General features: G+C 38.1%; 1 protein-coding gene across 7 annotated transcripts in view, besides 2 other annotated features; it reads right to left on the minus strand.

The window, feature by feature from the left end:
* The window catches only part of MARCHF1 (membrane associated ring-CH-type finger 1), an 859,722-nt gene that overhangs the window by 21,815 nt on the left and 813,568 nt on the right, over positions 1–24,339 (minus strand). The gene's annotated exons all lie outside the window — the stretch shown is intronic.
* Positions 3,541–4,042: an enhancer, noted in NCBI's record as "H3K4me1 hESC enhancer chr4:164470805-164471306 (GRCh37/hg19 assembly coordinates)". NCBI's record gives its function as "activates a minimal SCP1, AML or CMV promoter by ChIP-STARR-seq in naive H9 embryonic stem cells {active_cell/tissue: H9 hESC(naive)}" and the evidence as "EXISTENCE:reporter gene assay evidence [ECO:0000049][PMID:30033119]".
* Positions 4,043–4,542: an enhancer, noted in NCBI's record as "H3K4me1 hESC enhancer chr4:164471307-164471806 (GRCh37/hg19 assembly coordinates)". NCBI's record gives its function as "activates a minimal SCP1, AML or CMV promoter by ChIP-STARR-seq in naive H9 embryonic stem cells {active_cell/tissue: H9 hESC(naive)}" and the evidence as "EXISTENCE:reporter gene assay evidence [ECO:0000049][PMID:30033119]".

The raw sequence follows: 24,339 nt of genomic DNA on the forward strand, positions 1-24,339 counted from the left end.
ATGGGTATGTACCACCATGCCTGGCTAATTTTTTTATGTATTTGTAGATATGGGGGTCTCACCATGTTGCCTAGGCTAGTCTCAAACTCCTGAGCTCAAGTAATCCACCCCCACCTTGTCCTCCCAAAGTGCTGGGATTATAGGCATGAGCCCCTGTGCCCGGCCTAACTCAGATATATATTAAATTGCAAACAAAAATAATTTTCTATTCTCCAAATGAATTAAATCAAGTCATTTCTGTTTTGCAAGTCTATAGTTTCCTCATCTGTACCAAGAATGAGATAGCTTTAATATTGAACAATTAAAAACTTCCTTTTCAGGATTCTGCCTATCACTTCCTTGTGGTACTAGGTTATACGTAGTAATAGGTAACACTATCTTCTTGGATTATCACACAACTGGACATAGTTTTACATTCTTGAATGTATAAATTTAATAAGTATTTGAATGACCGAATGATACCTGCAAGAGAAAGTCAACATTTTCTGTTCACAACTATTATAGAAAAACAAATTTTATCACTTGGGCGATACTAGAAAATCTGCTGAAGCCTCTTTTAGAGCAACCTTTAGTTGCTGCTACCGTAAGGGTTGTAACTACTGTGACGACCGCTGTCCTTTAATCACACTCCTGAGAAAGTTGAGGGCTGCTCCCTCAGTCTGGGAGAGGAAGAAGGCCGCAAGTTTTATTGAAGTTATGGTCTCCATAAGGGAATATCTCCCATATTTACTTTGAAGAAATAGCCTCTCAAAATATATTTTAATGTCTTTGTAGCTACAGTATCACTTCATTATTATGTTAGGAATTGTGTTTTTATTTTTCTTTGCATTCTTTCCATTAAAAAATTACAGTGATTTTATTAGACGTGAACTGACATGCCAAGCTTTTAATAATCTAGGATTCTTTACATTATTACGCCCTCACTAAAGCAAAATCTTCAGAACTTCAGAAGACCCCATTCCTTCCCCACCTGACCATCCCACATGTGGATTTCAATGCACAACCCAAAAACAAGATGGCGTACATTGTGGTACATAAAGTCCTGTCTCTGCCACCAGCTTTGAGACGTGGTTAAAATCATGTACTCTCTCTGGGCCTCACTGCCTCGTCTTCATGAGGAGCAGATTTCAACAGAGGCTGTGACAGAGGTGGAGAAGAGAATAACCATTCTTCACTTCTTCTGTTAACAAACTAATTCATTAGAGTCGGCATTGTGCCCATCTTAAAGCTGCCTTTCCAACCTTTCTTGGCTCAGGTGTACATTGATTATTTTCCAGCAATGAGATGTGAGCCAATATCTAGTGGGACATTAAGTTTTTGCCTTTCTAATGTAGGTATTGTCCTTTCCTTCATTTTCTGCTCTTTGCTACCTGGAATTCATAATTAAGTGGGAGAGTGTTCATCTTGCAATCTTGAGGAAAAATCTTGAGAACTGGAGTTTTCTCAGCCCAATCAGCAACAGCTTGCCTTTGGCCATCCTGTTGTCTTCCTGATTAAGCCATTATTTCCCAGGTCTCTGCCACTTGCTGTCAAATGCAATTATTGGTAAAAGAATTAAATAGATACTTCCTAGCTTCTCTTCCAGTCTATGGAATAAGAGCCTATAATTTCATTTGCAAGAGAGCATGATACTTCAAGTATGACCTTGATGCTCTAGAGCAGTTTAAACATTTTAGAGAAAGAAATATTTTATTTACAAACACCATCCCTTCCTCTCCTCCTACTGGCCAATCATCATGTAATTTTCCTTGAAGGAGTTTGTTAGAGTTAATTAAAAATTCATTCTTTATCTTGTACTTTGTTTTTTATCAAACTATATTTATATATTATTCCAAGCATAACAAAGGGTAAATATTAATAATGTGATTAAGGAATAAACAGATGTTTCAATTTAGACTCTATTTTGAATTAATCAGTCTTGAACTGAGAAGATTTTAATGTTAATTGAGTTTTTTCAAAACCTCATGTCCGTGCAAGATTGATTTTTTAAAAATCCTGTTTTGGCTTTGGTTTATTGTCGTATTAATCTGAATAACACATATAATCATAGAATATTATTATTTGGCAATAGCATTTTGCAATTTAATAAATATTCCTTGAATTACTTCAGTATTTAATACAGACAGATAAAAAGTGGAAGCTGGTATGGAAAAACAGCTTCACGTTTTTAAAGTTTCTGTGTTGCAAGTGGATAGAATACTTGCAGTAACGAAATATTCATATCAAATCAACCCTCAATTATAAAATTGGCTTAAAATACTATTAAAATTGGGACTTCTATCTATGGAGCAATTTGATTAAATGGCTGGAACACTATTAAAAAGTAAGGCTCCTCAAATAGAAAAATATCAGTGGGGCTGACAAGAATGGACCAAATCATTTGTAAAGATTCATCTAGTTCCAGACAATAGAAGCTCTGAAGTTGTCACTTCTAAATCGCAGTTAACATTCTAAGGAGAAGTGAAGCATAAGGGAACCATCCACGTTTTCCACTTTATAAATCCTTACAGGAACCATTTAGAAACTCACTAGACAGCACACAAGTAAATGTAATGCCACAGTGCCCTCTTCCTAACGACTACATTACTGCATGCAATATTCAGTAAATGGCGCTGGCAGAAATCAATGTATTTTATAAACCTTTCCCTTCATATTGTCTTTTCAGGTTTGTTTACAAAATTTCAGTATGTTTTGCAAGCCTTACTAAGAATGAGAAATGGAGAGGATAAGGATAGAAATCTTATTTTAACAAAGCTGTCATGAAAGTGCCTTCAATTAATATTCATGATGCTGAAATTCAGTGGCAGTTCACAAAAGATTTCGTGATAGGCAAGTGATAATCTGTGAAACTTTTCATAGCATTTCTGCTCCCCTGTCCTGCTTTACCAAATAACGTGTGACTTATGGCCCTGTTACCAGGAGTATATTGTTACCATGGTTACACCTCTAGAGAAGGTTGTTCCTGAGAAGATCCTCTTCAGGTCCCCAAAGTGTGGTCCCTGATCAGCCTCAGCAGTGCCAGCCTCACTCAGGCACACTACACGCGCCCACCACCACGCCTGGCTAATTTTTTGTAAATTCTTGAGCTCCGCTTTGGAGATGACTCTATGTTAGTTTTTCCCACATGCCCCCTAGAAAATACAAACTATTGCCTTGTCAGTGATGAAGTAAAGTTTCTTTTGCTTATTGCTTGGGCCTGAGTCGAATATTTTATCCTCAAGTCTCTCGGTGTTGAGAAGACGTTATCTCTCCAAGGGGTCTCAAGGAAGCTGGTGGAAATGGTAAGACGGCAGCTCCCTTTCCCGTTTCCCAAAGGTCAGGGAGAAGGAACGCACGACAGCACATACACCACCATACTTTTCACCAATGTCTACACTGCCGACCCTCTGATCTGCCCTTCCTTAGTCTTCAAGTTCTCCTTTATACCTTGAAGATGGGGGATGAGCTAAGATTAGGCAAAAGTAGTTTCACAAAATCTTAGCACTTCCTGCATAGGTAGTCTTGAACCTCGCTTTGGACTTTACAGTCCCTGGGCCTTTGGTGCCTGTTTTACTGTTCTTGCTTTTGATTTTTTTTTTTTTTTTGCAGAAGCCACTAAACAATAGAAAGAAATCCAACAGAACTCTATTATTCACTTAGAAAAATATGACTGTATGTTTTTTCTGAATTGTAGTATAACTTGATGCAAACATTGTTTCTGTGAAATTGTCTATTTGATGAAGTTAAATCAAACTTTGCATGATAGGGTCAGGTTTTCTAATTCAAATTACTTGCATTATATTCTGTCCTAAAATATAAATTTAAAAGTACTGCCCACAGAAAAGTGTTGTTTAAATCTTTATACCAGTGAAGAATAAAGGCAGTTTATTTGTATAACATAAAAATGCAGGCCGGGCGCAGTGGCTCACGCCTGTAATCCCAGCAGTTTGGGAGGCCAAGGCGGGCGGATTGCCTGAGCGCAGGAGTTCGCCACCAACCTGGGCAACACGGTGAAACCCCGTCTCTACTAGAATACAAAAATTATCCAGGCGTGGCGGCGGGCGACTGTAGTCCCAGCTACTCGGAAGGCTGAGGCAAGAGAATCGCTTCAACCCGGGAGGCAGAGATTGCAGTGGGCCGAGATCGCGCCACTGCACTCCAGCCTCGGCGACAGAGCGAGACTCCGTCTCAAAAAAAAAAAAAAAAAAAGAAAAGAAAAGAAAAGAAAAAAGCAGGAGGTAGGGACTACTTTGCCAAATCCATTAAATCCATTTCGTCTTTTTTCTTGACAGTTCACCTATGGTTTCCAGCTTCCGTAACAGTCACGTGACCTAGAGTTTTCAATCTATAGAATGATAGACCAAAAAATTACCACCAGGTGGCGCCAGGCCCAAACAGTAGCTAGTACGGTAGCCCTTTTTTTTTTTTTTTTTGGTACCGCCAGACCCAGGAGCTCCCAGCCGGCCAGGTGTGCAGGTTCTTCCTGTCATTTTGCATAAATGCAAAGCCACATTTTAATTGTTTACTGGCTCTGCCTGTCATATTGGATTTTGCTGCAGACGAGCGAAAATAATACCTGAAACAGCAAGTGTAAAGGTTATCACATTATTTACATGCCTTAGTAAGATATGTTGTGCTGGAGGATAATAAGTAAACCTTTTACAAATCCTTGGACTTGCTATGCTGGAGAAATTTCTAGAGGACCCATTCATATGAAGCAGTGGTTCTCAGTGTTCCCCAGTAGCAGATGCAGCAGCAATCAGGAAACTTGTTAGAAACCCAGTATTTTGAGCCCCACACCAAACTCACGGAATCAGAAACTCTGGCGATGGGGACCCTGTAATGTGCTTTAACAAGCCCTCAGGTGATTCCGATGCAAGCTACAGTTAGAGAACCACCTGCCTAAAGGATGACACTTAGCAGAGTTGCACGGTGACCTCCGTGGAGTTTATATCAGAAGTAGTACTTGTCACTCCCTGTCATGAACTAATTAGTAGTCCAGGAAAGGGTAATCAACAAATGAGTTTTGTTTTCTGGCTGTGATTTAAATATTTCAGGTCGACTGAAAAAAATTACATAATTCATTTATTTGAACTGAAATGATTCAGAGTTAGCTCATTAATCACTAAAGCAAACTTTCATTTTTTGTTTTACTTTTCAAATTAGTGTTTAGGTAACATAAAAGCCTATTAAAATCTAATTATACTAGTAACAATTTCAAATACTCTGGGAGAGAACTAAACAACAGACTCTTAATTATGAGGAGTAACTCTTGAACCTTAATAAATCTTTAAGTTCAGAGGTATGCCTATGGTAAATAATTTCCCTCTTAAAAATGTATTTTAAAAGACCAGCAGAAAAATTTGACCTCTGCAGACCTTTAGTGAAATTTGCTACAAAACTGATGATAGGGAGGAAACAACAAAGCCAGGTAGGTGGTAGGCAGCTGGTAAAGTTCACTAGTTAAGGCACTCACTGTTGGACACAAATCAGGAAGTGTACACAAGTGCAAACTTGTTCTCTCAGAATTACAGTAATATAGTGGCTGTGTCCCCACCTAAATCTCATGTTGAATTGTAGCTCCCATAATTCCCAAATGTTATGAGAAGGACCTGGTAGGAGATAATTGAATCATCAGGATGGCTTCCCCCATACTGTTCTTGTGGTAGTGAATAAGTCTCACGAGATCTGATGGTTTTAGATCATGAGGTCTCTCTCTTGCCTGCTGCCGTGTAAGACATGCCTTTCACTGTCTGCCATGATTGTGAGACCTCCCCAGTCATGTGGAACTATGAGTCCATTAAACCTCTTTTTCTTCATAAATTACCCAGTCTCAGGTATGTCTTTATGAGCAGTGCAAAAAGGGACTAATATAAGTCCCTTTACAGATAAGCATGTACATGAAGGCTTTCTTACTAAGAGTCAAAACCTCAGATATAATAGCCATAAATGCTCTGTGAGTCTATCATTTCCTTAAAAAAACATTTTCTCCCCTAGTTCTCTTCCACGTTAGGTCCACCAGTGATAATCATTTGACATCTTTTGTACATGGCCCAATGTGAGGGGACACTATTTTCTGATTAAGTGCAGCTCCTCTGTCTCTCCTGATAACAGTACAAGAAGGTCTTGTACTGCACCAAAGATTAGGATCTGCAATCCAAAGGAACTGCAAGTGGAAACAGTGAGGAATGGGCCATGTGTCCAGATGGACCTGGGAGATCACCAACCCAAATATAGACAGCAAATTAACAGCTACCATCTTGAGACAGTGTGTGCACGCAGCGGTTTAGAATCGGGGGAAGTAGTTAACTGAGACCCAGGTTTGGGTAAAGATACCACTGCAAGTAATTGGCAGTCTTACTGAAAAACGGTAATAAACAGTTCCACAAAGAGGCATATCTAAGACCCTGAAATCAATGGCTTCATTTTGCTACCACTCAGTTTGAGTCTCCTTTTGCATTCTGAACTGCTGGGTAATGGGAGTCTTTTCTAACTAGAAGTGGTTTTCAGTATTAGCTGTTTGACAGGATCATTTGGGGCATCAAGTTCCCTATAGACACACTCAGGCCTCGTTGAATCCATCACTGAGGAATGAACCGTGCAGCTGTGTGGTGTATTCTGTCTGTGATCCAACAAGTGTTTAAGAATGAGGGCTCTGGGGGCCTGGAGCGGTGGCTCAGGCCTGTAATCCCAGCACTTTGGGAGGCCCAGGTGGGCAGATCACGAGGTCAGGAGATTGAGACCATCCTGGCCAACGTGGTGAAACCCTGCATCTACTAAAAATACAAAAAATCAGCTGGGCATGGTGGCGGGCGCCTGTAGTCCCAGCTACTTGGGAGGCTGAGGCAGGAGAATGGCTTGAACCCGGGAGGCGGAGCTTGCAGTGAGCCGAGATCGCGCCACTGCCCTCCAGCCTGGGCGACAGAGCGAGACTCCGTCTCAAAAAAAAAAAAAAAAAAAGAAGAATGAGCGCTCTGGGTTCAAATTCTAGCTCTGCCACTAAGTACTGTGTGACCTTGGGTGAGTTATTTTAATTCTCTGTGCCTCCATTTCTTTATCTGTAAAATGGTGATTAGAATAGAACCTACTTTGCAGGGTAAAGTCTAAGCAACTTAATACATGTAAATGCAGAACACTATCAGGCACTTAAAAAGAATTCAATAAATGTTAGCAGTTATCACAACTTGGAGCTTGCAGCACCGCATCCAATTAGACCTCAGTTGTTCTTACTGTCTAGATTAATGCGTCATGCTGATAACATCTCTGAGGAATGAAGATGAGATTTGTTCAGGCAGAATTAAGTCAGCGAAAGCACCTGTTCCCCACTTCTGTTTTCTAAGTACAAATATGTTTTTCGGAATACTGAGTCTCATATGTCTCATATCAGGAAAATACAATCTATTTTTATTAACTATGTGAACAAAGATAAGAAGGGTTATTACAAAAGTTACTTTGCATATACTAGGTAGAAACAGCTAAAAGATGGCACAATGATGGCTTCATTTCTGTAAGAAATGGAGCAAATATCATTATAGGTTTTAATATATGCCCCAGTAACTTCTCATTCTTGTTGTCAAATTCAAAATGGTATCTTAAGGTTTCATGTTTCCCAAAGACATACTGCTCTGGGTGACAGATTTCACAAAAGGTTAAAGGAACTCAAACATTCCAAATAAACTCAAAGCATGAGCGTGGGTGTGTGGCTTAGAATTATGTCTTCTGTGGGCATCGCAGGACATGAGAAGCAGTCTGACTAGAAAGGTCCCGCTGTCTCTGCCCCAGGGATGCTATTCTAACAAACTTAGTGACTGCAAAATCCAAGAAGCTACCCAAGAATGGATACATGAAAAAAATGGCTCTTTTCCTCAAAAGCTAATTCACTTGGATTTCTATACATGAAGACTCTTTTACTTTTCAAAAACATTTTTGGGGTTAGCTGATACAGTATTTTACCAAGAAGGGCTCACATTGCTTTGCAGTATTTAGACTAGTACTTGAGACACACCAGTTGAGTAAAAAATAGAGGTGTGATAGCAGGGAAAATGCAACTTATAAATCCAAGCATGGTTGAAATATCATTTTTAAGGCTTTAGAAAAAGGTGCATTTATTTAAAGTAATAGTAAGAGATATATATTGTACTGATATGCTTGTCACGTTAGTTTACAATGTGAGGAATACGCCACTAAGAATTGTGACTCAGTGGTGCTGCTGGATGCATGAGAGAGGTGTTAACAACTGCCAGATGAGAAATTGTCCAAATGCAAAGGTATTAGTAGAGTCAGAGGCCAAGGGAACATAGAAGGTGTTGGAAAGAACAATGGAGAGCAGAGAGAGCTGGGGTAGGAGCAGGAGGCCTGGGGTGGTGTGGAGGGAGAGGAGTACAATGTGGTAGTTAGGTCGAACAGGCTAGAAGCCACATGGTCAGAGAGGCTTGGAGCGAAGCAACTAAGAACTCAGACTCCTGGGTTAGGGAGACTTGGGTCAGAGACCCCTGTCTGGCTTGGGTCAAGTAACCTAACCTCCTAATGCCTCAGTTTTCTCATTGGTAAAATCAGGATGACAACAGTGTCTCTTGTATAGAGTTTGCTGGAATTATATGAGATAATCTAGTTAGCACATAGTAAACAGGGAAGTAAACCAGGCATAAATATTCTAAAAATAGTGTGACCAGTAAATTCAAAGCTACCAAATTATTTTTATAAAACAGATAAGCCATTTTATGTTCAGTCAACTAAATGATGATTAAGAATTTCTCTACAAAATATATGCACATTACTTATTACATGCATATGTAAATATATATGAGCCCAATGTTAGATTACCAAAATAATTTTTCTTATAAACCTTGTCTTGATCTCTCACTGGTTTCTTTCAAGATTTTCATGACAGATGGGATTTCCTAAAAGTTTTAAGCAAGATATTTGTAATATAGAAAAAAAGGTGCTGAGTAAAATCATCCACTAGAGGGAGTAATGATATCACGCATAATGATGATATGAATGGAAAAAAGAGAAATGGAAAAATGTTTGTATATCTGTCCTGAGGGTAGATATAATATGTGGGATTTAGGCACATTTGCAGTGGAACTGTTGGGATAAAAGTTAAAATTGCAAATTCCTAAGCTTTGTTCCAGATTTATATCTGGGGGTGTGGCCTAGGAATCTGCATTCCTGGCAGGCACTCCGAGAGATTTTTATATATGCTGAACTTTGACAATTACTTCCCTAAGGAAGGAAAAGTTCAGGGACATATTTTAGAGTGGCATTGTAATATCTGACGGTTTTTCACAGAGTGAATATACTTTCACCTCCTTCCATATCCCCCCAAAAAACTCACCTAAATCTGAGTTGATTAATATCACCATGTAAGAACACAAATTACTTGAAAGTTTAATTAATAGATGCATTTAAACAAAGTTCCTTTAAAAATATTGAATCAATACTTGGTTGTCTGTTTTCTCTCGGAGGTTATGGTGAAAGATATTTTATCACACATTCTGAAAGAGAAGTCAGTATATTACTGCTTCAGGCATGTTGAACCAGCAGAAAATCTACTGAGCTGTGTCCATGAGGATACTTAATTATGGATTGTGGCTTCATAAAGAAAACAAAAGGAATAATTGGGTTACATTTCACAGTGGCATAGTCTCTCTTCCCCAGAGGTTGAAACCCTTGCCGAGCGGACTCTTGGATGACACTGCCATTGATGATGTTTTCCCTGGAAGCCCATTTCTGTTGTGGGCTCTTCGCCTCTTACCTCTTCAGTGAACAGCTATGGCACACGTGGAATCTGCACAGGTCTGTGGTCACTCTCTGTGCCTAAGTGATCATAGCCTTGCCGTTTAGGAGACAGTGCTCGTGTACTAAGCAGAAGCACAGACACTGGGAAGATTAAAAGAGAAAAGCTTTTAAAAATACCCAATTTTACCCCATCATTTTCTAGTTGAAGAAACTGAGGCCCAGAGCACTGAGTTGACTTACCCAGTCATTATTAGATGACATTATTAGATTTTTTTTCGTTCAGGAGCTAATTATTAAAGCATCACAATGTATCGGACATTGTTGTAGGATGCTAGGGAAGAAGACAGCCAAGATTTCTGCTTTGATGAAGCTTATATTAGGGTCCCAATTGTGGAATTTTGTGTAGTTGTTAAAATAGGGAACTGTGTAATTTTCCATCAATAAGAGATAATAGGTTTTGATTTCATAAGTGCTTCTATCCCTTTCTCAATTCTGTTGTGTATGTTTAGAAATGTCTTTCTAGAATATTCCTTTGGGTGGCAGCAAATAAAAAGAGAATCTTTTTGGAACCGTCTATTTGTATCTACCCACAGTAAGCTCATCTACTGACAATCCATTGTTGATGCTTATTCTCATGGGTCAAAAAAATTCTTACATCCTATTTGCACTCTTTAATAGCAGTGTCACATCTGAACATTGTATTTAATGTAATTGAGTTGATTTTTTTTTTTACTCTCGAGAGTCTCTTAGCCACATATACACTTGAAATAAATCATATATATACGATTTATATATAAATAAAACAGAATATATATTTGTACATATATTCTACTCCAGTTTAAATGAGAGCCTGTGAAACTTGAAGTATTGGTTCCAGTTTTGGATATAATAATACTTTAAAAAATAGTGTTTTAGTTACTATATCTAAAAATCCATTTTATCAGTACTTTGATATCAAGCATGATTAATTGGCTCAATATATTACATTTGAATTTGTTTTTGGCACCATACTGACTCAGCGTTTCTTAAGAATTTTGTCCTAAAACTGAAGATTTTTTTTTTTTTTTAAAGAGAAGATTCTTTTGGGGTATAGAAATTTCTTAAATTGTATACAAAATATTGTGTGCATTTATTTTTTTCTGGGGAAAGGTCCATGATTTTCAATGGATTCTCAAAGAAATCGGAGACATTTTCCAAGTTAAAGTCCTTGCTTTAAACTGCTCTCCCTTGAATTGATTTAATAGCGATAGCAGGGAAGGGTTGGAGGTATACATAATCTCCACAGGCGGGAAATGAAACTTGTGGTTCAGGGACTCGGTATGTTTGGAAATCAAAAAATGACTTTGCAACCACAACTGGCCAAATTTCCTCATTTACAGCATTTAGGATGAAATCCCAAATGTTGATTCTCATCCTACTGGGTGATGGGAGAAAGTGTAAAATGCTCATTTGTGTTTACATGGCAATATTCAACTTTGTTTAATTATTTTGCTGTATAAGCTGTCCTATCCTATCATCTCCAAATACTGTTTTCCTCTAATTAGACAGCAGTTGGTTTGAACCAAAGAAAGCTTCAGGGGGACTAAGAATCTCATTCAGTTCCAAGGATACCAGAATAATTTGTCTGGGTCTTTGGGAGCCCATGCCAAGGGGTGTGTTTTTTTGTAATGATTCCTGAGGCCTTTATGCTTTCTATGTGAAATTTTTTGAGACATAGGTGATAATTTTTCACATTCTAGAACAGTTCCCATTTTTCTTCCTAAAGCTCAAGAGTGAGAACTGAACATGAAAGGAACTCATTTAAAAGTTCTTTAATAGCCTGTCGTTTTTCTTTCCTCTCTCTTTGGAAACCTAATAAAAATGGGTTAGCCTTGCTTTTCTTTTGCCTATATCCTTCATTCCCACTTATTTACTATTATGATTATTATTTATAAATCTTCATGTTGAATACTTTTTCACTGAAGATTCAGTTGTCCATTTCTCTAGCATTATTGGATCACAGCCAGGGGATAGAAATTAAATGTTAAACCAATCTAATATTATTCCAGTAATTTGTTCTTACAGAAAGCAAGGAGGTAAGGTTCAGCGTCCACACTGAAAATGGAGCAGGAAGGTTTAATATTCCCATTTAAACATCTCCTTTCTATTGAAGAACATAAAAGTCTTCTGATACTTGAGCTGACCATGACAAAGAGGGGGAAAAAAGAAAAATTTGGGTTCTGTGAAAATACATGGAGTTGCATGGAATAGAGATTTGTCTGAAGAAACTGAGATGACTGAGTGTCTGAGCATGAGGTGGAAGGGCACAGGTGAGGGGGGAAGAGTGGGCAGGACCAGATGATGAGGACCCCCGATTATCATCCGGAGCGGGGAAACATGGGGTGTGGAACAGGCGTGAACGGTTCAATGTGCAGGGAGAAGTAGAAAGTGTTCTTCCCAGATTTCCTTCATGGAATTCGTTCAAAAGGAATCTCTTTATGACTATTTGGGGTAGAAAGCATGATTACAAGGGACACAAATGTAAGCTGACCTCTTCTGAGTGAGGCAGTAGGAAGAGTTTTTCTGTTGTTCTGAGGAGATGCTTGAGCAAGTGGAGGAGATGCTTCGGAGAAGATAGAAGGTTCTCTGGCTTCAGGATGGGTCTTCTGCTACTCAACTTGGTCATTGCTGAAGTGACTGGATTTAGGGACAAAAATCTAGGAAGTAACTGATCTTTGAACTCAGGTTTACATCAACAGCTGAGGGACAGCCCGTATAGAGAGAGTCTGCAGAAACAGGACGATGAGCTGCAGGCACTTGCAGAGAGCACATGAGGGGTGTGGATTGGCTCAGGCCAGGCATGGTTTTGAAATGTGGGCTATGTTTAAGCAGATCTCTAAGGAGTAAGGTAAACAGGCTTTTGCGTTGCCAGGGTTTCAGAAAGCCTGTTCTTGCAGCTGCGTGGAGCGTGCCCTAGAGAGAGGGTGAGCAGCTTGTGGCCCCCACAATCCAGAGAATAAAAAGAACTGCTGTCTTACAGTGGGTCTTATTAAATATGACTTCTACTTCAGAGAACATTGATCCTCTCACAGATAAACTCCCTTAACTTCCTGTCCTCAGAATAGATACATTTATAACTGCATCACACCCTTTTCACTTCCTCTCCTCTTATTTATGAGGACAAAATGTTCCCGTACAGTCCAAATTCATCATTCTCCATGACCCTTGATCCTTTGATTATATTTTTTCATTTACATTTAATTTCTTTCTAGCCCTATAGCCCCCTTCCCTTCAGCATTAAAACCTATTTCTATGTCTCTTTCAACTTTTATACAATAGCTTATTTTTTATTAATTGCATGTTCATTGTAGAAAATGTATAAAACATAGAAAACTAAAACGGAAATAAAATTATTCATAATCTCATTTGCAATGTATGTCCTCTTTTAGTCTTCAAGTATACACACAAATGTATTGGAATGTAAATATTCAAACCATTTTAAAATGCAACTTTAGTTTTTGTATATTTTCATTTCTTTGGGGCACTAGCAGAATGCAATGCAGAAATATAGGGAGTGGTTGGCGATTTGGAAAGTAGAAAGGAAGGTTCCTTTCGAACTAAGAAGAAGTCAAAGGATGGAGGAAGAAGAAAAAACCACATCCATGTTGGGAACCTGGATGATGACAATGAGAAGCTGCAGACTGTGGTCCCATTGCTTAGTAAGAACTCGGAGAAGAGATCTAACACAGAACCACTTTGAGAAACATAGTTTAAATGACAGGAGCCACCACTGGATTTGAGTCACCTCTCAAAGATGGTCCTTTATTTTAGAACCTCCGATTATCTGCACTTGTGTCCTATGTCTATTATTCCTCACATCAGTGGGGCCCAAGAGGACTTTAATTTATCTCCATCTGTCACTTCAGTCTTTGGCTGCCAAGCAGAGGAGTGTCCCCTTCCTTGCCACAGTTTCTCTCTCAGTGTTTATCTGAATAACCAGTGTGGACAATGCCTTCTACAATGCCTCAGGACATTTGTACATATAGGAAGAGTGTCAGCCTCGGAAATCTAGTGGCATGTCTTAAAATTTCTTGCCCATTTTTCTTTGTTATACAGTGTTCTCTAATTGTCGAGTTCTCAGATTTCTTTATTTATGTGGAATATAAGTTCTTTATCAGACATTTGATATGAAAATATTATTTTCCAATATATGGCTTGTCAATTTATCTTAAAAGTAACTTTTGAAAAGCAGATGTTTTTAATTTTGACATAATTTAATACATCAATTTGTTCTTTTGTTTCTTGCTTTTGGTGTTACATCCAAATGTCTTTACCTCACCCAAAGTCATAAAGGTTTTCTCCTTCGTTTTCTTGTAGAAGTGTTTCTGTTCTAGGTTTTATATTTATAGGATACATTTTGAGTTGATTTTTGTATATGGTGTGAGATATAGATAATTTTTTTACATTTATTAAAAACATCTTCCTTTCCCTGCTGAATTGCTTTATCGAAAATCAGTTGACTGTATATGTGTGGCTCTATTGCTGGATTGTCTATTATGGCCCATCAATTTACTTGTCAGTCTTAACAACTATACTACCCTGCCTTGACTTTGGTAGCTGTATAATATGTCTTTAAATCAGGTATTATTCCTTCAATTTTGTCATTTTTCAAAGTTAACTTGGCTATTCTAGTTCTTTTGCATTCCACTTGAAGTTTAAAATTATTTTGGCAATTTATTTTAAAAATTCATGCTGTGAATTTTATTGGTATGGTAGTGAATCTGTAGGTTAGTTTGGGGGAAGAGTTTGACCTCTTCACAATATTGAGTCTTCCAACCCATGACAATAATAGACATCTACATTCGTTTAGGTCTTTAATTTCTCTCAACAATGTTTTGTAGATTTCAAGGTACAGGTCTTGTGTATTTTTTGTCATATTTATCCCTAAGTATCTAATAATTTAAATGCTATTGCAAATAATATTTTTAAAGATTTCAATTTACAATAGTTTGCTTTTAGTGTACAGAAATACATTTGGTTTTTATATATTGAGCTTACATCCTGCAATCTTGCTAAATTCACTTCTTAGTCTTAGTAGCTTTTTGGTAGATTCCATCATATTTTCTACATAGATAATCATGTCATTTGTGCATAAAATCCACTTTTTTGAATCTTTTCCAATCGAGATGCTTTTATTTGTTTTTCTTGCTTTATTGCACTGGCTAGAACCTTCAATGAAATGTCAAATAACAGTTTTCTTTCTAAATAAAAAAACAAAATTATACTAACATGCTTCAATGATAACTGCTTTAAAATGTAACAATATATCATGTACATGTATTTCATTTTTGATGGCTACATACATGATATCATATAGGTCAACTAAAATCTATATTATCTATATTACAATTAGAAACTTTTGTTTGCTTGGATGTCAGTCATATCTAGATATTTTTGCCCATCTCAAAGTCATACAAATTTTTTCTATGCCTTCTTCTAAAAGTATAATTGTTTTAGGTTTTACATTTTGTATTCTCTCTTATAGCTAGTTCTGTGCCCAAAATTTAAGTAGCAAAATATTGTGCACATCTGTGATTATTTCATTAAGATAAATTCTTAGAAATGAAATTTAAGGGAGAGGTTGGATACATAGTCAAGATTTCTGAAATACATCTATCACACAAATATATAGCCAATACATCTATCACACAAATATATAGCCAAATTGCCCTCCAGGAAAATTATACCAAATTATTTCACTATTAGCACGTTTTGAATGCCAATTTAAGAGGATAAAATTGGTATCAGCTATTGTTTAAATTTTCATTTTTTTCACATTTATAAGAAATGTGAAAAAGGATGGAGGAAGAAGATAAAACCACATCCATGCTGGGAACCTGGATGGATATAATTGTTTGTGTAGTTACTATTTGTATTATTTTGTGAATTTTTTTTCTGTTTCCTATTATATGTTTTCCATTGTTTGCTCATCGTACTGATGTTTCAGAACTCTTTTATGTTTATCTTCCAGTAAAAACATCTATCTTTTGGTTCTGTGCTCCACCTATAGCTACTGACTTGCTTACTTCTTCACAGGCAACATTTTGGAAAGAATATTGTACCTTTCTCCAAATGTCAACCCTTTCTCATCTTTTCTTGACTCTTCAACCCTCTGAAATGTAGCTATCAAAAACAACACTCCAGGCCAGGAGTGGTGGCTCACGCCTGTAATTCCAGCACTTTGGGAGGCCGAGGTGGGCAGATCACCTGAGGTCAGGAGTTTGAGACTAGCCTGGCCAACATGGTGAAACCCCGTCTCTACTAAAAATACAAAAATTAGCCAGGCGTGGTGGCCCATGCTTGTAATCCCAGCTACTCCAGAGGCTGGGGCAGGAGAATCGCTGGAACCCAGGAGGTGGAGGTTGCAGTGAGCAGAGATCGCGCCACTGCACTCCAGCCTGGCGTCAGAGCCAGACTCTGTCTCAAAAACAAAACAAAACAAAACAAAACAAAACAAAACCCAACACTCCACTGTAACTACTCTTGCCAAAATTACCAATGACATCCTAAATGTATATTTACTCTCAGTCCTGTCTGCAGCACCTGATACTATTGACTATTCCCGTGTTTTTTATATTTTGATTCAAGAGTGTTAGTCTCTATTGGTCCTTTGCACCTCTCTGATGGCTGCTGCTTCTCATTCTCTTTTGCTCCTCTTCTCTACTTGCCCCTGCCCCTCAGTTCCCAGGCCTTCACCTTCACCCCCAGTCTCATCACACTCTCCCAATCTTTCTCATTGCTCTCTTCCTGACTCCTCTGAGCCTGAGGCTTCTAGAGACATCCTGATGACTTCTTTTCTCACACTTCTGTCAGTCCAGACTCAACCTTTCTCAGATTTACCACTCATCTGGTTGGCTCACAGTCATCCCAAACCCATGTGTCCTGATGGGACTTTTTATGTTATTTCCCCAGATTTACACATTTCTATGTTCTTCCCAGTTAATAATTAAACTGTTCACCCCATCACTCAGGTCAGAAAGCTGAGTATCATGAACCACTTTCTCCAGCGCATCCTTCATCTTCGGCCCTGGCAGTAACTAAACTTTAGCTCAGGAACTAAACCCTGCCAAGTGCTTTTACTCTGTCTTCTCAGCTGCTACTTAATTGAGTCCATCTCCTTTTCTAGCTCGAATGTTGTGCCTGGCTCACTCACCTGGACACTTCGTTCTCCACACATTGCTGTGGAGTGATGTTTGAAAACTACAAATATATTAATTCCTTATCTAATACCTGTAACTGTCTTTCCATTTCCTTCTGGATAAAGTTGAAATTCTTTAGCAAAGCATCCTTTATAATCTGACACTTGCTTTCTATTTTACCTTGAATATTATCTGCCTTAATATTAATATTAATGGTTTTACATTATTAACTTAATTCTCACAACCTTTCTGTGGTGGACATCCTATTATTACCTCTATTTAGATAAGAAAGGGGTGGCTAAGAAACTTGCCTGTGGTCATCCTTCTCTCTGGCAAAGCCAGCTATTTTGAATTTCTGAATGGTTTATCCTCTGCGGGTTTAAATGTACTATTTTCTTTCCTAGGACTGCTTCAACTCTCTGTATCTCACTGGGAAACATCTAGTCACCATTCAAAACCAGTTTCAACTACCTCCTCCCCTGGGAAGCATTTTCTAATACACCCAGGCAGAAATGATCCCTCCCTACCCTGAACTACAGTGGCAGCGTAAGATCATGCTTACAACCATAGACTTGGACATCACATTGATTTGAAACTAATTCAGCTCCACCAGGTGAAAACTGAGACCTCAGAAGATTTATTTAGTCTGTCTAAGCCTCAGTTTTCTCATTTGTGACACTATGATAAGAATACCGATTTCATGTTTCTCAGCAGGATTAAATGGGGCTACGTATGTAACAATGCACATACCACAATGCTTGGCACTATTAAGCAATGTGTGAATTCTGGCCGAATATTGTAGTCATTAACATAGTGGATCTTAGAATACAGTTGTCATGGTAAATCTGTGCGTTTATCGAATTTACTTAATCATAACCCAGAAGGCAAATTTCCCTAGGCTCTAAGCGACCTGATATCCTCTGTATTTGCCAAAACATTTCTATGGATATACTATAAATAATTTAATTGACCAAGCTTCTGTTTTTGCTTTGGCTGTGAAAGGTTTTAGAAGCAAATGATCTTCCCACCTAACTACATACGGGACCTGGAGTACACATTGTCCTTATGTTTGCCTTATGAGTTCACTTCACTCTCTTTTACCACAACCTCCTTAACCATTCGCCTTACTGTTCGGTACATATTTCTATAAACAGGCTCAAATCTTTTGTGCGTTGAGATGGAGTGCTAGTAATTTTTGGAGGGTACAACAAGAAAGGGCTGAGCTCGGCAACCAAAAAGCCTTTGTTGACTGACTGACGTTTGAATGCCTGATCTGTCAAATCACAATAATGGAAAGAAAATAATGCCAATTCCTCAATAATGGATATGATAATTTGCACTATTTTATATGGATAAAATTCTTTGATTTATTGAAATAAGAATAGCAGCTGAAAGGAGCTGAGGTATGTTTTATCTAATAAATGTGCAGCATGAAAATGCTCTGAACCATTAAGACCCATACAGAAACTTTATTTAAGGCCACATACTTGTGTTCTCAAATCTTTAGGAATCATGAAATGAAATGTGGCTACCTTTTATGTAATCAGTTTCTGAACAAAAACTTAAGAGAAAAAAGAGTCTTGTAAATATTTTAAAAACTATCTGAAAACCTAGATCAGTGAGTGAGTGACTAAGAATTACTTCAAATTACCATGTAAGTTAAATGTAGCCTGCCAGGTGCATTGCCAGGATTAGGTTTTAAAAAGCTCTTTCAATCTTCAAACTTCAATAAGGATCTTAAGGAAGCCCAGTTTTCTTGCTAATAGTGAGCCAGCAGAAAAGAGTCAGATGTTTGTTACTATCCTGTCATTGGGATTTTCCTTTAAATCAACCACTCAGCAGCGCAGATCTCTGGGGAAACACTTTTTTTTTTTCATGATGTCAGTTTCTGAATTCAAGTGTGATACTGTCATAGAGTCTCACAGAATTTTGAAGTGACCCCACTTCCATGGAAGGAACTCCCTAAACTGGGCCTCGACTCTTAAAAAGAAGAAAAATATACAAGTGGGTGATATTAAGCTCAGAAAATACTTCGTCTTTTCAGTGACTTAATTCCTCAAACCATGAGAAAGCTGTTGATTGCAATCAATTTACATAGAAATTTGTCAAACTATGCCAACATTGTGACTGCAGCTTCAAAAAATATAACTGCCTGTAGTAAACAGCCCTGAATCTCCTGCGAATGCAGAGGCAGGCCATAAATGCTATGGGGTTCTTTTAACTTTAATGCTTTAATATACACATCCCTCATGCCAAATTCTTTCACTGTAATGACATGATATCTTATAAAAAAGTAACAGGTTTGTGCATACAGGAGACATATTTGACCTTGTGTGTTTTAAAAGATGATTGTGACAAGGTTTGCAACAGTGGAAATGGTTTTCTAGACAGGAGAAATCAGTGAGGTGGGTTGCCTTGACAACGTGGGTTAGTTGCATCAAGAAATCCATGGCAATACAGGACCTTCTTCTGTTATGTCAAGATTGCAAACAATCTACCAAATTAGGTTAAAAGAAAACGAATCCCACAGCAAGGCAGTGTTATCTGACCTATGAAATATTAGTTCTCACTTTTTATCATGAACCTTGTTAGAAAAGATGAAAAAATCTAGGTGGGCAAGACAGACAGGAGAGCAGGAGTAAAGTGGGTTTCACTCAAAAGTCTGCTCTCCTCTCCTCTAAAGCACTTCACCCCCAGAAGGATTCCAGGAGTTCTTGCATATTCTCTGAAAGTCGATCCTGCTAAGAAAAATCTTACCCCGATTCTGTTGATTTCCCCAGCAGTCTCCACAAAGCTTCTCTCTGGGGATTATCACTGCTCCTATTGCATATTCTTAAATAATGAGCATAAATAAGGATTACCACAACAAAGCTAGTTATTAGTTAAATAGAAAACAAAACCTGTTAACATATGTGCCCTGTAGTCCAATTATCCCGGTGGGGCTGAGGAAAGATTTATCTATAAAGTATTAAGCCTCAAAGACAAAGCCTGTTTTTGAAAACCTACATTATTGAACATGCTTGTTTCCTTCCCCCAGCAAGCACCCCTTTGTGGCACTGTTCAAAGTTCACAATTTTGATACCCTGCTTCTAAAAATCACCATAAAGCAATTTTGAATGAGAGCTTAGATTTTTCTTTTATAAAGGATTCTTTTAAGGTAATCAGAGCAATGCTTTTCTTTGGCTTAAACTGCAGTATGAGTTTCATTTTCAACACTGTCGCATGCTGCGACCCATTGGATGTTATCAGAGGTGGTCCCCAGTGCAGGGGACATACTGTTTGTCCGGGCTGCCCTTTGCTTTTGTCTTTCCTGACTTGAAGATTGTGGAAGTGAATTGGGACTGGAGGGACACATATTAGGAGCAAAGGAACTGCCTCTGTAACAACAAAGTTGCGAAGCACTAGGGCAAAGTCCCACGAGTTCAGATAGTATGAATCTGCACACGATGATGGCTCCAACCTGTGCAGGGCCAAGGTAACCTAACAGACTGTGGTGTTGACTATGAAAGCTAAGAACAAAGAGAGTCTTTGTTCCAACTGGCATTTATTTTCTTTCTCCTGGGTGATAGGATGCCTAATAGATGGACCCACCATCTACAATAAAGGCCAGTGTTACTCATCAGGTTTTATGTCTGGTGGAAGCACAAACCATCACTCTAAGCCTATAAATAGTTTAAAGGGTACCAGTGGATGAATGAAAGCCTTGTTTGCTAGAAGTACCTTTAGAAGTGACAAGTGAACACACATAGCATCAACAATGGTTCACTGACTATATACCAGGGAGAAAAATAAGCTTATTTGGGAAATTCGCTAAAGAAAGAATCATGGACAGCTTCTAATTCAGTCCTAAGTATTAGAATTTCTCATTAAATCAATATAAGAATGCAGAAAATCCACACAAGTATAAAGCCATAATTTGTGCTTTACTACGTTCTTCTACCTTATAAGTTAATAGGTTCACCAACACACCTTGCATGCAAACTCTTAGGGACCACATGAACCAGGAATTTAATCTAAGAAAATAGAACCCATCTTGATGGGTGCAGCAAATCAGCATGGCACATGTATATGCATGTAACAAAGCTGCATTTTCTGCACGTGTATCCCAGAACTTAAAGTATAATAACAAAAAATTCTAGCTACAGCATATTCAGTGAAGAATAAAATCTCTTCCACAAATAAATAATAGGGCAGTAAGAAATGAAGTGTGGCAGAGTAATTCTATATTAAAAAAAAAGAACCCATCTTTATGCCAATGACATCTAGCACCTAACTGAGGCTTTCTTTTTGATATTTTCAGAATGATTGAAAAATGTGTTAGTAATCATTCTCTCCCTGAGTCAATGCTACACAAAACGCAGTCCTGCACTGGCTGTGTTCACTGGGAACATGGTAGAAATGCAGAATTTCGTGCCCCACCTTATGCCTACTGAACCAAGATGATATGGTTTGCCTGTGTCCTCACCCAAATCTCATCTTGAATTGTAGCTCCCATAATTCCCATGTGTTTTGGGAGGGACCCAGTGGGAGTTAATTGAATCATGGGGGTGGGTATTTCCTGTGCTATTCTCATGATAGTGAATAAGTCTCATGAGACCTAATGGTTTTATAAAGGGGAGTTTCCTTGCACAAGTTCTCTTCTCCTGTCTGCCGCCATGTGAGATGTGCTTTTCACCTTACACAATGATTATGAGACCTCACCAGTCATGTAGAACTGTGAGTTCATTAAACCTCTTTCTTTTGTAAATTGCTCAGTCTCGGGTATGTCTTTATCAGCAGCATGTAAACAGACTAATACACAAGACTTGATTTTTTTTTTATTTTTATTTTTTGAGACGTATGCCATATACCTAGAGGAAAAGTACCATTTTAACAACCATCTAGAATTTCACTGTATGACAATATCTTGCTCTATTCCTCTGCACCCTTCTTTCCCATTATCTCAAGATAATCACTTTCAAATATGTTAAATAATCCTCCTGATATTTACCTCCATCTTTTTATATAATGGTCTTCTATTGCTATTGACGGCTCATTAATATTACAGTTTATCTATTGATCTCATTATTGTTGAAGACTTAATGCTTAGCCATACCATTTCTCCCTCGCATTTCCCATAACGTCCCAATATAAGTGTATGGCTACATTGGACATATCAATATAAGACATTATAACTATATAAAATAGGCATTCATTAAATAAATTAACTGTTACTCTAGAGCAGTGCTTTTGAAAGTGTCCTCTGGGGACCCTGAGACCCTTTCAAGGGATCCATGCAGTCAAAACTAATGATAATTCTTTGTTTTTTATTTTAACCAAATTTGGTTAAATTTGGTTAGAGTGTTTCATTGAAATCAACTTAAGCTGGGATCTTAGTTTCTACTGTTTCTCCAAAGTCACTTGATAAGTGCCTTTGATTCAGAAATTTGGATGAGGAGACACTCTAGGGAAGACTGAAGATGTAGGCTATGTGGAAACCAGGAGATTATTTTTCTTACAGAAATAAATTCTTGAGCTTAGTCTTTTTCAAAAGACTCGAGCCTACCTATTAAAGGTGTCTGGAGATACCTTTATGACAATGAAATATCTTTATGACAATGAGTCTTTGGAGCACGCACCTTCTTCAGGAGCTGAGTGGCTGAAGTCATACTGAAGATCAGTGCCAGCCAGCCCTTTTTGGCCAGTGTACCTTGGGAAAGGAATATTTATCTAGGCTGCTGGGATCATCTTCCACATTTAAGGCATACAGTTGCACAAATTTGTCTGTGGCTGTCACAGGGAGCAGTGGTCCAAGGAGGACCAGAGGCTCCTAGACATATCTGTTGGGCCTGAGGCTAAGAATCCCACAATGAACTGCAAACAGAAGCCACAGTTGTTCAAGGTTGCTCAGTGCCAGAAAACTAAGGTGAATCAGGTGCATCAGGCATCTAAATTCCAGCACTCAAAAGACTGTCTGTAGCAGTTGGGGCCAAGTAGGTTTCTCCTCCTTCATTGAAATGGTACGCTTTGGTGCTCCTGGTGTCAGCCACTGCTGAGTTTTTCACTTCTGCTTCTTCCATTTCAAGGTTCTTGAACCAAATAGTTATCACTGGATCATCAAGGTGGAGGGTTGATGCTGCATAGCAATCTGTGTACACGGTCTTTTGGAACACACATTTCAACACTCTAAGCTGTTCCAGGGTAAAACCTGGATGGCTTCAATGTGCACAGCTTGGTTTTGCTGACATGAGATTGTTTGGGAATGCTACAGTTCAATCAGCTGGGTCACGATAGCCACGCTGTAATGTCTCTGTCTACTCTGTGTCCTTTTAGTTTTTTGTATCTTTGAATTCTAAATAAGGTTATATTTTGAAGTGGGAGGGGGGATTAAACAGCGTTGAAAACCAGTTGTAATCTCAAAGACACTTTGAACGAAAATTCTAGAACCATCAAAATGCTAAAAAGCTGAAATTAACTTATAGTGTAAACATACTAATAGTTCATATTTATTCTCATCATGTTCCAGATATGATGCTAAGTGGTTTACATGCATTATCTTATTCAGCTCTCCTACGAACCATCTAAGGGGGTACATACTCTTATTATCCCCGTTTACGCAGGAGGAAATGGAGGAATAGCTTATCCAACGTTACAAAGCTACGATGACTGCTTTTAAGAACCCACACCCTAGCTGCTGACTCTACAGCTCAAGATCTTAATCACTACACTGGTCAAATGCAGTAGATTAAAATTATAGGCTATTGGATTACTTTGTAAGAGAAGTCTTTCAGGTAAATATTTGAATGCATCTGTACAATGATTTATTACAGTTACTTATCTGTAATTAATTGTACAATTATTTATTACTCTTATAAGGCATTCTTATGCAAATGAACGCCTGGAGCAATTAGTACAACTCTTTAGAAAGTAGGCATAAGATAAATATTGTTCAAATATGTCAGACAAGGCTACTTGTTTTTATTAACTTTTTAAAATGAACTCCTGAAGAGGTTTTGGTATAACTGTTTTTCTGTCTCAATCGTGCTTACTTTATTAATTTGCTCAGCAAGGTCTTTATAGATAATCTAGATTGTAAACTTAAGCCAGCATAACCCTTATCTGGATGGCCATACATTCTGAATGACTGATATGCAAATTAATCAATGCATTGAACCCCCACAATCATCTAGTGCCTGAGAAATAGTGAGAAATAGTCAGCTCTTTAAAAATGTGCACGCTACCCTCTTGTTGGCCTTAAAGTGGATTCAATGCTAAATACTGATTTGGTAAGAACAAAACAGTGAATCTGCTACAGTGTTGATGATGGAGGGATGGGAGAGACAATAATATCATTATTTTCTAGGACTCTACAAAATACTTTTACTGACATCATTTTATTCAACGGAACCCCCAAAAGTTGAAAAACTAGGTATTATTGCCAACCTTCTACCTCCTTTCCCTT

The sequence above is a fragment of the Homo sapiens genome, chromosome 4 (genome assembly GCF_000001405.40).
Source record: "Homo sapiens chromosome 4, GRCh38.p14 Primary Assembly".
NCBI classification, from domain to species: domain Eukaryota; kingdom Metazoa; phylum Chordata; class Mammalia; order Primates; family Hominidae; genus Homo; species Homo sapiens.